The 16,174-nt window shown below is 40.9% G+C and overlaps 1 long non-coding RNA gene across 1 annotated transcript; it reads left to right on the plus strand.

Moving 5' to 3' along the window:
- Positions 1–9,572: 9,572 nt before the first annotated feature.
- Positions 9,573–15,392, plus strand: LOC105370936 (uncharacterized). The gene is made up of 2 exons (XR_932562.2): positions 9,573–9,901; positions 15,107–15,392. It is a non-coding gene; the product is annotated as an uncharacterized LOC105370936 (long non-coding RNA).
- Positions 15,393–16,174: the final 782 nt, after the last annotated feature.

A 16,174-nucleotide genomic window follows, 5' to 3' on the forward strand; every position in this document is an offset into this window, starting at 1 on the left:
GAATTCTGACCTGCTCCCCTTCTGACCTGAGCCAGTTCTCCCATCCTTAGGCAACCCGATGGCCCCCTGTTCCCAGGAGGTCACCATACTGATACTGAACTTAGTGCGGACACCTTGTCGGCATAATGACCGACACAAAATGCTTAAAAGGTAACCTGACTCTTTGTTCAGGGCTCAGTCCTTTAGATGTTAATCTGACTGGGCCAGTGCACCTAATAATATATATCCTCCTCAGTCTCTCTGATTCCTAAATTATGCTGCTGTACGGGGAGAGAGGCAGCAGGGTAGTGGAGTCATACCAAGCAACAAGACAGGGTAGTGGCCAGGCATGGTGGCTCACACCTGTAATCCCAGCAATTTGGGAGGCCAAGGCGGGTGGATCACCTGAGGTCAGGAGTTCGAGACCAGCCTGGCCAACATGATGAAACCCCATCTCTACTAAAAACACAAAAATTAGCTGGGCATGGTGGCAGGTGCCTGTAATCCCAGCTACTCAGGAGGCTGAGGCAGGAGAATTGCTTGAACCCAGGAGATGGAGGTTGCAGTAAGCCAAGATTGTGCCATTGCACTCCAGCCAGGGGGACAAGAGGGAGACTTCACCTCGAAAGACAGACAGACAGGCTAGTACGTTTTCCACAAATTTCAATTTTACTCTCTTCCCCCACCACACACACACACAAAGCATTTGAGGGATGGGAGGAAGAAACTGAGATCACAGGAAAAATTGTAAGAGACATTCAGAAGGACAGGTCTTAGAAATTTACTAGTTTTGGGGGGAGGTCAGAACAGGTGTATATAAAAGAATATTAAGACAGTTCCCAGGTTTAGGCATATGTGACTAGATAGAGTGCTAGGAGATGGATACGTGAAAATTTAAATATCATCATTTTGAACACCCATGTCACTCCAAGTGAGATTCCCTAAATATATGATATACAGACAGATATATGGGTTTGAAACTCTGGAGATGAATACAAATTTAGGAGTCCCTGGAACACAGGTCATGACTTAAGTAATGGGAGTCAAAGATTACTCAGAGAAAGCACAGAATGAGAAGAGAAGAAGTAGGACAAGGAAGAAGAGATCGGAGGAGACCAAGAAAGGGTGATAAGATCAAAACAGGAGAAAAGAATCCGACAGAAGTCTCATTTGATTATCATGTCCCTTCCCAGAGGACAGGGACATGTCTTTTTTGTCTTTTATACCCAATTATCACAGGTCCTGGTGCAGCAGACACACAGTTTTTTTTTTTTTAATTGTGTTGTACTATTCACAGTTTCCTGTATTCACCAGGGGAGAAAAAAGTAAGTATAAAGAAGCACAGACACAGATGTTTTTACACTGTGTACTAAAGGGGTCAGATTATACACAATATTTTATGCCTTACTTTTTTACTTAATATATCTTAGAAGTTTGCACGTGCTCTTATGGAAAGACTGGCTGCATTTTTTGGTCCACAACAGAACAACAGAATATTCTATTATAAAACGGTACACTATAATTTTTATTTAACCAACTCTTTATTGGTGGACATTAAGAATGGAGGAATGTTTCAACAAAGGAACAATCAACAGTATCAAAATACTGCAGAGGGGTCAATTTGGGGACTAAGAGGGGAGCCACTGGATTTGACAACTAGGAGATAAATTTTAGTGCAACGATGAAGGCAGAATCCAGAGTATAATGAGCTCAGTGAAAAAAGGTGAAGACATGTAGCTTATTCTCTCAAGAAACTAGGCTATGATAAACTGGCAGAGGCTCTAAGAGTGGGAGGTGAGTTGTTTTCTCCTTCATGTAAATATATTTACCTTTTAAACACTAGGCCCAATTTTATATCCTATTTCATTTAACTTTATGAACATATTTATGTATGTATGCATGTATGTATGTATCTCATGTGATGTTTTAGACACTGAAAAATAACTCATTTCTATTATAAAACTGATATCTTTAGATGTTCAGAAGCAACTTCCTAAAAGGAGGTAGCAGTAATGGAGCTATGTCTATCATTCTTTCCCATCAACCCCCTTGATGGAGATGTAAACATGTGTCCATCAAGCCTTTAATTTTTACCTCTTATCTTCATGGCTCTCCATACAAAACTTAACTCTTTTTTTTTTCTATTTGTATACGTATATTTATATGTATATCTATATCGAGAGAGAGAGAGAGAGAAAGAGTCTTGCTGTGTTGCCCAGGCTGATCTCAAACTCCTGGGCTCAAGCAATCCTCCCACCTTGGCCTCGCAAAGTGCTGGGATTACAGGCGTGAACCACTGTGCCCAGCCTCAGCCTTAACTCTTAAAATATCTTCAAACCAATATTCTTCTGTTCTAATTTTTAAGAATAGATGTGTTTAAACCAACTAACTTATTTTGACAAAAATTGGAGTTAAGACTCAGACTTCCTCAAATAGTTCTCCTAAAACCATTTACAGAATAATCTATCTTTTCAGTATTAAGTTAAAATACCACCTTTTCCTTATACTAAATTCTCGTTTGCATGACTCTGGTTCTAAACTTCCATTGCCTTTATCTGTCTGGCCCAGGGATAGTCCACAATATTTTATTTACTATCTGGTTGAAAGAGTCTATACTTTATTACTTTTTATTACTTATTCTTCTAAACAAATTTTAGAGTCGTTTTGTCAAGTGTCAAAAATAAATCTGCCAGAATTTGTACTGAAATTTGTGTGTGTGTATATATATAATACACACACACTATATATAAAATATAAAATGTATATATACAATTTATATATATAAATATTTATAAAATATGAAATATATATATATATACACACACACTTTTCTAGTTCTTTTTTTTTTTTTTTTTGAGACAGGGTCTCACTCTGTCACCTAGGCTGGAGTTCAGAGGCATGATCTCGGCTCACTGCAACCTCTGCCTCCCAGGCTCAAGTGCTCCTCCCACCTCAGCCTCAGAAGTAGTTGGAAATACAAGTGTGTGCCACAGACACCCAGCTAATTGTCATCTACCCGCCTCAGCTTCCCAAACTGTTTGGATTACAGGTATGAGCCACTGTGCCCAGCAGAAATTACATTTACAAATTAATATGAAGACATGGTGATAACTAACATATTTATAACATGAAATCTGCTCATCCAGGAACATAGAATGCAAATCTTTCATTCCACTCAGCAAAATTTTGTCCTGTCCTTGATAAAAGTCCTGCACATCTAAGTTTATTCCTAGGTATTTAATTTTTGCTGAAATACCTGAAAAAATACTTCATCACTATATCTTCTACGTGATTATAGCTAACACTGGGGAAGGCTATTGATTTTTATATAAAAGAACTTTTAACCACTAATCTTAAAAATTGTTTTTCTCAGTTGGTTCCTTTGGATATTTTTAGGTAAACAATCATGTCAACTGAAAATAATGATAAATTTTCTATAAAGACTATGACATCACAGGAAAATACAGTAAATACTTTTTAAAAGAATATAAAAGGGCCAGGCACAGTGGCTCACGCCTGTAATCCCAGCACTTTGGGAGGCCAAGGTGGGCAGACCATGAGGTCAGGAGATCGAGACCATCCTGGCTAACACGGTGAAACCCCATCTCTACTAAAAAATACAAAAAATTAGCCGGGAATGGTGGCGGGCGCCTGTAGTCCCAGCTACTGGGGAGGCTGAGGCAGGAGAATGGTGGGAACCCAGGAGGTGGAGCTTGCAGTGAGCCGAGATCACGGCACTGCACTCCAGCCTGGGTGACAGAGCAAGACTCTGTCTCAAAAAAAAAAAAAAAAAAAAAAAAAAAAAGAATATAAAACTATAGAGAATATGACCTCAACTATTAAGCATATGTGTAAGGGTTATGTATTTTAATAGCAAAGAAAAACTATATACTGGTAGAAAATGACCATCATGTCAACAGTCAATAGTGGTTATATTAGATAGAGAAATTATGGGAGACTTTAATTTTTTTCTTTTATCTTTTCTGTACTTTACCAATTTTCTCAACAATGGTTGCTTATGAGTTTTAAAATTAAAAAAAGGTTTTAAAAATTTTTCCAACATGGAAAGTTATATTTCTTTATATACTAAAACAAAAACAAAACTTTCTATTTGAATACCTATGGCAAAACCCTATCTCTACAAAAAATACAAAAAATTAGCAAGGTGGGGTAGTACACACCTGTAGTCCCAGCTACTCTGGAGGCTGAGGTGGGAGGATCACCTGAGTCCCCAGAGAATGAGGCTCCAGTGAGCCGTGATCATAGCACTGCATTCCAGCCTGGGAGACAGAGAAAGACCCCATCTCAAAAAAAAAAAAAAGAAAGAAAGCAAAAAGAAATATCCATAATGATCTGAAATGCCTATCTGTATGAGACTGTCCTTTGTTCACATTTTTTCAAGCAAATATCACACAATAAATTGAATGCAGGTACAAATGACATATCAAACATCAAAGAAATTTGCAAAGGACGTAAGACTGTACTACCTTGGGTTTAGAAATTTTCTTATCATAAAAGCATTTATAACAATATTTTGTGAGCTTTTAAGGAATATTTTAAGTATTTCTGATTTAATTTCTAGTGATAAATACCAATAGATATAACCTACATACACAAAAGCTCCTTGGGCCCTCAATATACTTTTAAGAGTGTAAAGGAATCCTGACCCCAAAACTTTGAGAACTGCTGCCTTCCCCTCCACTTTATTCCTTCCCTAGAATTTCTTCCTTGGAAGAAACATTCCTTTGCCATTCTATGTTAACTTACATAGTTCCATTGAGGCCAGTTTTGCTACCTCTCTCCCATCTTTCCACATCCCTCTCTTGACACAAAACCTGACCAAAGGACTCTACCGGCCCACCCCATTTCCAGTGATTAGCTGTCAGGTGGGCTAAGCCAAGAAAATCTGGGTTTTCCCTGACACTAGACCTCTCTTTCTGGGAGATACGGAATCACAGGGACAAGGCTGGCCCTGTCAGAACTCATCTTGTCTAAATGGGAAGAGGTTAGGCAAGTTTCTAGAATGCCAGACTGCTTTCTAGAAAGTCAAAGATAATTATACTTTCTGCCACGACTGTGAAAATGCCCATTTCATTGCACGCTTTCTAACATTTATACCAATCTGATAAATAAAAGCTGGTACCTAGAAGAAAAAAAGGCTGGGTATGGTGGCTCATGCCTGTAATCCCAGTACTTTGGGAGACCAAGGTGAGTGGATCACCTGAGGTCAGGAGTTCGAGACAAGCCTGGCCAACATGATGAAACCCCATCTCTAGTAAAAACACAAACATTAGCCGGGCATGGTGGCAGGCCCCTGTAATCCCAACTACTCGGGAGGCTGAGGCAAGAGAATCACTTGAACCTGGGAGGTGGAGGTTTTAGTGAGCCAAGATCATGCCATTGCCCTCCAGCCTGGGTGACAAGGTGAGACTTTGTCTCAAAAAAAAAAAAAAAGTTTCCATACAATATAATTTGTTCCATCTCTAAAAACCAATTCAGCAATAACTGAAAGCCACCACTTGGAAGGTTTCAAGGATTTAGCTCTACCTGTTGATGATGTCCAAAGCATTAGTTAAGGTAGAAAAAAAATATACACACACACACACACACACACACACACTCACCCCTATGTAGTCAGTACCAGGAAACACGAAAGACTAGATGGTACAGTCATCCAACACAAAGCACACAATAACTGAAGGCACTGTAGAGGAGTAACTTATGACACAGATCTACAATATTGAGTGAAAATGCAGATTACAAAAAAAAATCTGATTTTTTAAGGGAGAGGGAACACATACAAGCAAAGGAGAAAAGAGATGAGCAGATGACTGAAAGATACAAAATTCTGATAGTGGTACATTCTGAGTGGTAGAATTATCAGTATTATTTTCTAGTTTTGCCTAAAAATTTTCTAAATTTCTTAAGAACTTTTTGTTATCCATATTATCAAATATCCATCACCCCAGGAAACTTAACCTTGAGCACAAACTCTACAACAAGTTCAATGTTTGTTCAGTTTAATATTTAAGAGACAACCTATTTTGAAAGACATCTAAAATGATGACCAATATTTAAACCTATGCATTAATATTTTTCAATCATATCCTTCACATTTTGTAATTTTGATAAGGTTAAGCTTTAGATCCATCTTGAAAAGATAAGTTTTCTGTTTGTCTTTAAAATATGACCCACAATATGCCTGTTTTTAAACAGTGAATGATGCTCTAAAATCACAATATAAATTCAGGCAGTGCTCCTTACATGGAAAGTTTAAGTACTTCTAACACTGCTCTTTTTCACTTGTTATGAAAACACAGAACAATTATCTAAGCATCTAATTATTCAGGTCCTTTGTTTCTCCTCCAATCTATTAGTTTTATAGTAATTTTAGGGCCTGTGAGGATGAAGCTGTCTGTGACAGCTACCACAAAGGTTACTATAGGTGGACAAATTTCAAACAAGTTTATCACCACTACCATCCCCACCATAAAACTGTCTCAATCAAGGGCAACACAATTCAATATTAGCCAAGACAACCTCTTTACCTGTCACTGCTTAAGAAAAGGATTTTTGGTCTTATTTAGAAATAACTTTCTGTACCTATTTTTCTCCATAAATCCACTGAGACCAATGTGTGGCTCTATCTCAAGCACCAGCAAGCAAAACTGCCTGCTAGAAGGTTCAGTTTTTGTATCTTTCCAAATGTAGAACACAGCTATCTTCAAGGATTTCATAATTTTTTGAAAATTGATGCACAAACTTCTTGAAAGTTCAGAGACACAGCAGCTGTAATTCTTCTGAAGGCTGGTTATGGGACACATTACCTTCATACTTTGCTGTTTAAGAAATGTGGGGTGGAGAATCAAGTAAACTGATAGAATTTCCATATAAAATTCTAAGTGCTCTGAGAACAAAAGAAACTTAAAATACACACACACACACACACACACACACACACACACACACACACACACACGGTTTTCCCTACTAATCATTTTACAACTAAACAACCAAGTTGCTAAACCAGAGCCCACAAAAGCAGAGTCAAAGTTCTAACACTTGGTAAAAGAAAAATGCACACATACCCCTGTGAGCTAAAAAAAAATGCTTAAGTATTCAAAGACAGCAATTACAGCTACTGAGAACATCACTGTAAGCAAACTGAGGCAGAGAAAACAAACGTGCTGATGAGGATTTGAACCACCTAAGCTGCAGAAACCCACTGGATGGTTTCCTAGGTTCCGAGTTGGCATTATCTTTCAGAACAATCTTCTAGAAGAGATCACATAACACTGTTACAAAGGATCTGGAGAAAGGGACCCTGGCTTCATCACTGTGGCTCTCCAGTCATGCTTTACATTTGGCAGTGACTATCTCCATTCAACTCAATTCCCTAACCCTAAACTAGCTGACATTTATCAAATACTGCCCTTTACCAGGTCTAAGTAAGTTTAACTCCCCCCACCCCCACCAAAAAAAATTCAAGATACTAAGGGATATACTATTCACAAAAGGGAAACCTGTCTCCTCTTCATATACCTGTTCCTTTCAAGGAAGGGTATAAAAATGGGGATGAGGGAGGATAACCACTAGGAATTTGACCCTATATTATAAATTGGTCAGATAAATGAAAATAATTCCTCTGGACTCAAAGTGATATGGCTCTGAAAACGGGAGAAACATCGGGGTCCTTTGTCTCACGCCAGTTAAACGACATGGACACACAGGAGTGGTTTTAAGGAGCAGAAAGTTTAATAGACAAGAAAGAAGAAAGGCTCCCTGCGGTACAGAAAAAGGGGGTCTGAACAGAGAAAAAGCCCCGTGTGTGGCAGAACAGTACTCGGTTATATTGGGAGGCTGGAGGAGGTGGTGTCTGATTTGCACAGGGCCCAGGGCATTGGTTTGACCAGGCAGGTCATTCATGTAGCCCGAGAAAAACGTGGCCCTCCCACCCTAGCCTTTTAATATGCAAATGTAGGTCACCATGTTGTCCTGCACACATGGGGTCATCTGGAGGTGTCACCTTGAGGTGGTGACTAGAAGAAGAGGGTGGGAATCTCCATGTTGAATGGACACAGTTTCTAAGCGCTGGCATTTGCATATCAAAGCTTGGCAGCCTGTAGTCCCAGCTACTCAGGAGGCTGAGGCAGGAGATTCACTTGAACCTGGGAGGCAGAGGCTGCAGTGAGCTGAGATCACACCACTGCACTCCAGCCTGGGTGACAGAGCGAGATTCCGTCTCCAAAAAAAAGATAAAAAGAAAAGAAAAAGAAATGTTTCTGGAGTTGTTTCTATTAAAAGGGAAAGCCTTACTGAGGCCTCCTTACCCTCTCTATCTGCCTAGTATAATTTCTGAATAACTCCTCTATTAAAAGTACCACTGAGGTGCTTAATATGACATTTCTGATATTTCCCAATGCTCCTCCACAAATTCAATTTGGAAAGGTAATCTGTTCCAGGAGGGCAAACCAAAGAAAAAGTCCTAGGCTCCTGAGTCAAGGCTTGTTTCTTTCCTTTGTACAAGCTGACTACTTTTTAATCATAGTAAAAATGAGAAAAATGCAAGATGAAGTTAACAGCATTGCTTTATTTCCCATGAAAAGCTGTTATAAAGCATTCTCAAAATAAACTGTTATTCAGCCACAAATGACACCATCACTTTTTTATTCATAGGGCACAGTATCGCTGCCAAAGAGCTTTCCTCTATATGCTCTCTTGCAGGGCAAAAAATATTATCTATGTTATACAGAAACACAGTAAAAAAAGTGATTTACTTAAGGTCCTAACTACTAAATAAAAGCTAAACTACTCACTTCCTCCTAGATTCAGAGAGAGCTCCAACATTTTCTAAAATTTGGTATCTTGTTGTTGGGGTAGGCACTTTTTGGCAATAATGAATAGACATTTAATTAGCCAATCAAAAAAACTTATTAGGTACAGTAAGTTCCTCTTCAAAGGTTTAACCTGTTCAACTTCCTTGTTCTTTGTTCCTAAGAACAATTTCCCTGTACCTTCTCACCCCTATTTACCTGCTTAGTTATCTGCTCAGTTACCTGCCTTGTAAACAACTCTTCCCATCAGTCCCAACCTGTAACTCACATTCCCTCTCCCTTCCTTATTAGGGAGAATATTCGCGATAGCAAATCAAGTCTGCTTAGATTGTGTAGTCCGACTCCAGCCCATGTGGGAATGACAGAGAGGTAGGGACTGCGTTAGGGATATAAACTCCTGCTCTATCCCGCTCGGTGTGCTCTTGCATTCGTGACTAATGCAAACAGCACTCTTTTGCAGAAGTAAGTTGTCTTGCTGAGAAAACTTTTTTTCCTGAGTGCTGGTTCTTCCTTGCAGCACTGATCATTTGTTTCTTTTTTCTTTCTTTTTTTTTTTTTTTTTTGAGACAGAGTTTCGCTCTGTTGCCCAGGGTGGAGCACAGTGGCTTGATCTCAGCTCACTGCAAGCTCCACCTCCCAGGTTCACGCCATTCTCCTGCCTCAGCCTCCTGAGTAGCTGGGACTACAGGCACCCACCACTGCGCCCAGCTAATTTTTTTGTATTTTTTTTTTTTTAGTAGAGACGGCATTTCACCATGTTAGCCAGGATGGTCTCGATCTCCTGACTTCATGATCCGCCCACCTCGGCCTCCCAAAGTGCTGGGATTACAGGGGCGAGCCACTGCGCCCAGCCTGATCATTTGTTTCTAACAATCTGGGGGCTCGTCCGGAATTCCCATTCTCCTCTGAGAAAAGGGTCTCCAGTCACCAATAGTGAGGAGAAGCATCCCACTGCCTCATTGAGGTGGCCTCATGGTGAGGGATCAGGACCCACCCAGTGTGATGAATAAACCCGGACTCTCAGCAGTCTGGAAAGGAACAGACCAACAACTTAAGAGAAAAGGATCCTCACATACCATGGTGACCAGGTAACTATGTGCACAGACCAACGTAAGAAACATCACAAGAGCGACAAAGTATTTTCTTGGTGGTTGGGATATCTTGGAGATTGAAAGTGTGTGTTGAGACTCACAATTGAGTGCAAAGCAAGTGTTCAGTCCAGATCTGCAGTTCTGTGGTCACCTTATACAGCTTAAGGTAGCCCTTCTGTAAAGGAGTCTGGGTCAGGGGTTTCTACTGAAACAGCCATTGCTAAGAGGAAACCAACGTTCCCGTGAGGGAAGCAGCCAGAGAAGGATGAAGCGAAAGGAGAAAAGTGCAAGAAACCTCCAGCAGGGGGGTTGAGCCTCTAGGAAAGGAAAGGAAAGGAAAGGAAAGGAAAGGTGAGAAATCTCCAGTAGGAGAGGTTGAGCCTTATACAAACCTCTCGTAACTGGGAAGAAATTTCTAGTAGGGGAAATTGAGCCTCACCCCAATCCCTTTTCAAGATGGGAAATACCTCAAGTAATGCAGGGGAGAAAAAGGATAAAGCTAGCAACAATAACATTCCTCCTGATAGTCCCCTAGGGCTTATGCTAAAATATTGGAAAGAGAGTGAAAGGACTAAATACAAGAAAAAGCAGCAAATGATAAAATATTGTTGTTTCATTTGGACTCAGGAATCAATCCTGAAAAGCAAGTCAGAAATTAACTCCTCTGAGAAAGATAAGGTCCCTGTTCCTAGACAGCTCACCAACACATGGAACTTCCTCCACCACCTTCCCCCGTCCAATACCCCTAACCTCCCTCCCCCTCAAGCAGAGGCAGTTGTCCCAGACCCTTCTCCTACCCACATTGTTCCCCCTCTTTATAACCCTGCCTCTTGGGAATTGTCCCAACAGCCTGCTCACTATCACCCTAAGTACTCTTCCCTGAAAGGACTTCAATGTGAGATAGAGCAATGTAAAAGGGATATTCAGAACTTCCCCTTCCCCTCTACCTCGGGAGAATTAGCTCCACCTCTCTTCCCCTGAAGAGAGGTGTCCCTACGAGGAGGAGGTATTCACTTTGTAAATGCTCCTTTAACCAGCTCGGAGGTCCAAAACCTAAAAACAGAGTTCAAGCCACACTATTAGACAACTCCAGTGGAATAGCAGATCGAATTAACCAATTTCTAGGACCACAGTTATATATACTTGGGCTGAGTTAATGTCCATCCTAGGCATCCTTTTCTCAGGGGAAGAAAGAAGCATCATCTGTAGAGCTGCTATGGTAGCCTGGGAACATGAACACCCTCCTGGCCAAAACATTCATGCAGCGGATCAAAAATTCCCCAACCAAGACCCCTGCTGGGACAATAATAACGCAGCCCACTGAAGAGGATACGCAAGAACTTAGGGAAATGATAATAAAAGGGATTCGGGAGTCAGTACTCCGAACCCAAAATCTTACTCGAGCATTCGACATACAACAAAGGAAAGATGAAGGGCCTATCGAACTTTTAGACAGGTTGAAAGAACAAATGAGAAAATATGCTGGCCTAGATTTAGAAGATCCTCTTAGGCAGTGAATGTTAAAGCTTCATTTTGTTACTAACAGCCAGATATCACAAGGAAATTACAAAAGATAGGAAATTGGAAGGACCATCCCACGAACGAGCTTCTTAGAGAAGCTCAGAAAGTGTGTGTAAGGAGGGATGAGGAGAAGCAAAAAGAAAAAATGAAAATTATGTTATCCACCTTCCAACAGGGGGCCCCAAAGGATAAAACACACCAGTATTACTCTCTGTTACCCAGAGACCCACACACTCCCAAACAAAGCCTCCCGAGAGCCAAAACCTATAAAGATCCTAGGCCCCCACTTCCTAAGCCATATAAAGAACATAAGGAGGCAAAGCCGAGAAACCCAAAAATAGAGAGAAGAGACAGAATCAATGCTTCAATTGTGAGAAAGTAGGCCACTTCAAGAGGTATTGTCCCAAATTAAAATCAGAAAGAGAAGTCGTCCCACTTACGACCTTTGAGGAGGAATAGGGGGGTTAGGGGCTCTGTCTCTTTTACCTTGAATCCCACCAAGAGCCCTTGATAAATTTAGAAGTGGAACCCAAATCTGAGCTTATGACCTTTTTAGTAGACTCAGGAGCAGCCTGCTCCTCTGTTTGTTACCTTCCCCCACAATATAACCTGGTCCTCAGAGGAGCTTGTAGTCTCAGGGGTAAAAGGAGAGGGAATCAAACTAAAAATTTTAAAAGAAACAGAAATTAGATGTAAAAACTGCTCAGCTAATGTTGAATTTTTGTTAATTTCAGAGGCAGGAACTAATCTATTAGGAAGAAACTTAATGTTAAAATTAGGTATAGGTTTACGTATTGGCTCAGAAGGATTCTACACTTCATTAAACCTGCTCACCACTGCAGAAGAAACATACATTCATCCTGATGTTTGGGCAAGGGAAGGAAATTGGGGAAAACTCCAAATTCCCCCTATACATATAAAGTTAAAAACCCCTGGAGAAATAGTAAGAAGAAAGCAATATCCTATTCCTTTAGAAGGCAGAATAGGCCTGAAACCTGTAATTGAAAGCCTCATCAAGGATGGGCTCCTTGAACCCTGTATGTCCCCTTATAACACCCCAATACTGCCTGTGAAGAAACCAGATAGGTCATGTCGACTAGCATAAGACCTCTGGGCCATCAACCAGACAGTCTAGACTACCCATCCTGTTGTCCCTAATCCTTAAACCATTCTCAGTAAAATTCCATATGAACATCAATGGTTTACAGTAATAGGTTTAAAAGATGCCTTTTGAGCATGCTCCTTGGATGAGGACAGCTGAGACATTTTTGCTTTCGAATGGGAAGATCCCCATTCTGGATGACAGCAACAGTATCGATAGACAGCTCTACCCCCGGGCTTCACAGATTCCCCTAATCTCTTTGGTCAAATTCTAGAACAAGTGTTAGAACAAGTTTATACCCCAAAATGTATATGTCTGCTCCAGTACGTAGATGACTTATTAATATCCGGTTAGGCTATAGAAAAGGTATCTGCTTTCTCCATCCATATCCTTAACCATTTGTAAGGAGAGGGGCTATGGGTTTCAAAGAGAAAGCTTCAATTCATAGAGCCTGAAGTTAAATACCTAGGACACTTAATAAGTAACGGCAAACGAAGGATAGGGCCTGAGAGGGTTGAAGGGATTGTATCCATACCTTTGCCTAAGACTAAACAAGAACTCAGAAAATTCCTAGGGATAGCCGGATATTGCCGCTTATGGATTGACTCATATGCCCTTGTCATAAAGCCTCTCTACCTAAAAATCACCCAAGAAAAGCCTGACCCTCTCCTCTGGACTTCTGAAGAACTCCACCAGGTTGAGGAGCTAAAACATCTGCTTATAACTGCCTCTGTTTTAGCTTTGCCTTCCCTAGAAAAGCCATTTCACCTTTCTGTTAACATAAATAAGGGGGTAGCTTTAGGGGTCCTTACCCAAGAACACGGAGGTCACCAGCAACCCATGGATCTCCTATCAAAAGTTTTAGATCCAGTAACCTGTGGATGGCCTGAATGTTTCAATCCATTGCAGCTACCGCCTTGTTAACTAAAGAAAGCAGAAAACTAACCTTTGGGGGAAAGTTAGTTGTAAACATGCCCCATCAGGTTAGAGCCATCTTAAATTAAAAGGCAGGAAGGTGGCTTACTGACTTGAGAATTTTAAAGTATGAAGCTATCCTGTTAGAAAGAGATGATTTAACACTAACCACTGATAATTCACTTAACCCAGAGGTTTCCTGACTGGAGATTCAAATCTAAAGAGACCTGAGCATGAGTGTTTAGATTTAATGATCATACAAAAGTTAGGCCTGATTTAAGAGAGACCCCTTACAAAACGGGGCAGGGCTTCTTTATAGATGGCTCTTCCCAAGTAATTGAAGGAAAAAGGCGTAATAGGTACTCAGTAGTAGATGGGGAGGCACTTGAAGAAGTAGAGTCAGGAAGCCTGCCAAATAATTGGTCTGCCCAAACATGTGAATGAATTGTTTGCATTAAATCAAGCCTTAAAGCACTTGCAAAACCAAGAACGGACTATTTATACTGATTCCAAGTATGCCTTTGGGGCAGCTCACACCTTTGGAAAAATTTGGACTGAACGAGATCTTATTAATAGCAAAGGCCAAGACCTGGGCCACAAAGAATTAATCACCCAAGTATTAGATAACCTGCAGCTGCCAGAATAGCTATTGTCCATGTTCCAGGACATCAGAAAGGTCTTTCTTTTCAAAGCGGAAGGAATAACCTAGCAGATCAAATAGCCAAACACACTGCCGTTTCCTCTGAAAATGCCTGTTTTTCACTTAGCCCCTTGCCTTCCTCCCTCGACTGCAGTCCCCATCTTTTCTCCCGCTGAAAAGGAAAAATTAATAAAAATAGGAGCCAAAGAAAATTCAGAAGGGAAATGGGTGTCACCAGACCAAAGAGAAATGTTATCCAAACCCCTCATGAGGGAAATCCTCTTTCATCTGCATCAAGGGACTCATTAGGGACCTCAAGCTAAGTGTGATGCAGTCCTCGGGGTCTACAGATGTATAGGAATTTACATTTTGGCAAGACAAGTTACAGATAGTTGCCTAGTATGTAAGAAGACTAATAAGCAGATCCTCAGAAAACCACCTGTTGGAGGGAGAAATCCAGGATTAAGGCTGTTCCAAATTGTCCAAATTGATTATGCCGAAATGCCCCCAATTGGTCACTTAAAATATTTATTAGTGATAGATCACCTTACTCATTGGGTAGAAGCTATTCCCTTTTCAAGTGCAACTGCTAGTAATGTACTCAAGGCATTAGTTGAAAATATTATACCCAGGTTTGGATTAATAGAAAATGCTGATTCAGACAACAGGACTCATTTCACTGCACATGTTCTTAAGAAACTAGCCCAAGTACTAGATATAACATGGGACTACCATAACCCCTGGCACCCACCTTCATCAGGAAGAGTAGAAAGAATGAATCAGACTCTGAAAAACCACCTAACCAAATTAGTCCTAGAGACTCGGTTGCCATGGACTAAATGCCTCCCCATGGTCTTGTGAAGATTCCAAACTGCCCCTAGGAAAGATGTCGGCTCACCTCCTTATGAAATGCTGTATGAGTTGCCTTATCTACACTCCACTGCTGACATTCCTCGTTCGAAACAAAAGATCTGTTTCTCAAGAACTATATACTTGGTCTATCCTCCACTTTCTCTTTCCTTAGGACTAAAGGCCTCTTGGCACATACACCACCCCTTGAATTTCCAGTTCACCACCACCAGCCCGGACAGTGACCACATTCTCATCAAAGGTCAGAAAGAAAGGAAGCTCAAGCCCACCTGGGAGGGACATTATCTAGTGTTTCTAATGACTGAGACAGCCGTCCACACCACTGAAAAAGAATGGACTCACCATACCTGAGTCAAAAGAGCACCACCCACTCCAGAATCATGGACAGCTATTTCAGGGCCAATTCCAACCAAGTTAAAGCTAAAACGGGTTTGATCCTCTTATGCTATATTTCTTTTCCCCTTCTATTGCTAGTCCTCTCGTTATTAATGTAACTAGGTCGAGCTCACCCCAAACTATTACCTTTGATGCTTGCCTTGTTATATCCTGTGGAGCTCTCCAAAGTCAAAAGCAACTCTCAGCCTCAGAGAAGTATCTCCGTCCCTTTCAGACAAAAGCCTCCCCCATTACGACTCTTGTTCCTTAAGAAATGTAGGGAAACAGGCCTGCCACAGCTGGAATGATATTATGTGGACAACTGAACATCAGGGCTTTGTCAACAGGCAGTTGTAAGTCTCTAAAACCATGTTTGCTTTGTTAAAGGAAACATTCCCCACCCCCTGACTGCCAGTATAACCAATGTAATCCAGTGCAAATTTCTATTCTTATCCCCACTTCTGCCAACCCTAAACCTACTTTAAGTCGCTTATACGGCATAGGAGCCAAAATAGCAGGGACACATCTTATAGAATCCTTTGAAATGCATTTCATTACTTTCTCACCTCCTCCACCTCCTTCTACACTCTCTCTCAACGAAACCGCTGTTCTTCCTTCAACCAAGGATAAAATCAAGGTAAGCCATTGTAGAAGTTAAAAATTTGAAACAAACCATAGCAACTGAGACAGGGTACCAAGATGCAAATGCTTGGTTAGAATGGATTAAATATTCTGTCCGCACTCTAAACAAAAGCAACTGTTACACTTGTGCGCACAGTAGGCCAGAGGCCCAGGTTGTCCCCTTTCCACTCGGATGGTCTTCCAGCCAACTGGGCATGAGCTGTAT

The sequence above is a fragment of the Homo sapiens genome, chromosome 15, assembly GCF_000001405.40.
Source record: "Homo sapiens chromosome 15, GRCh38.p14 Primary Assembly".
NCBI lineage: Eukaryota > Metazoa > Chordata > Mammalia > Primates > Hominidae > Homo > Homo sapiens.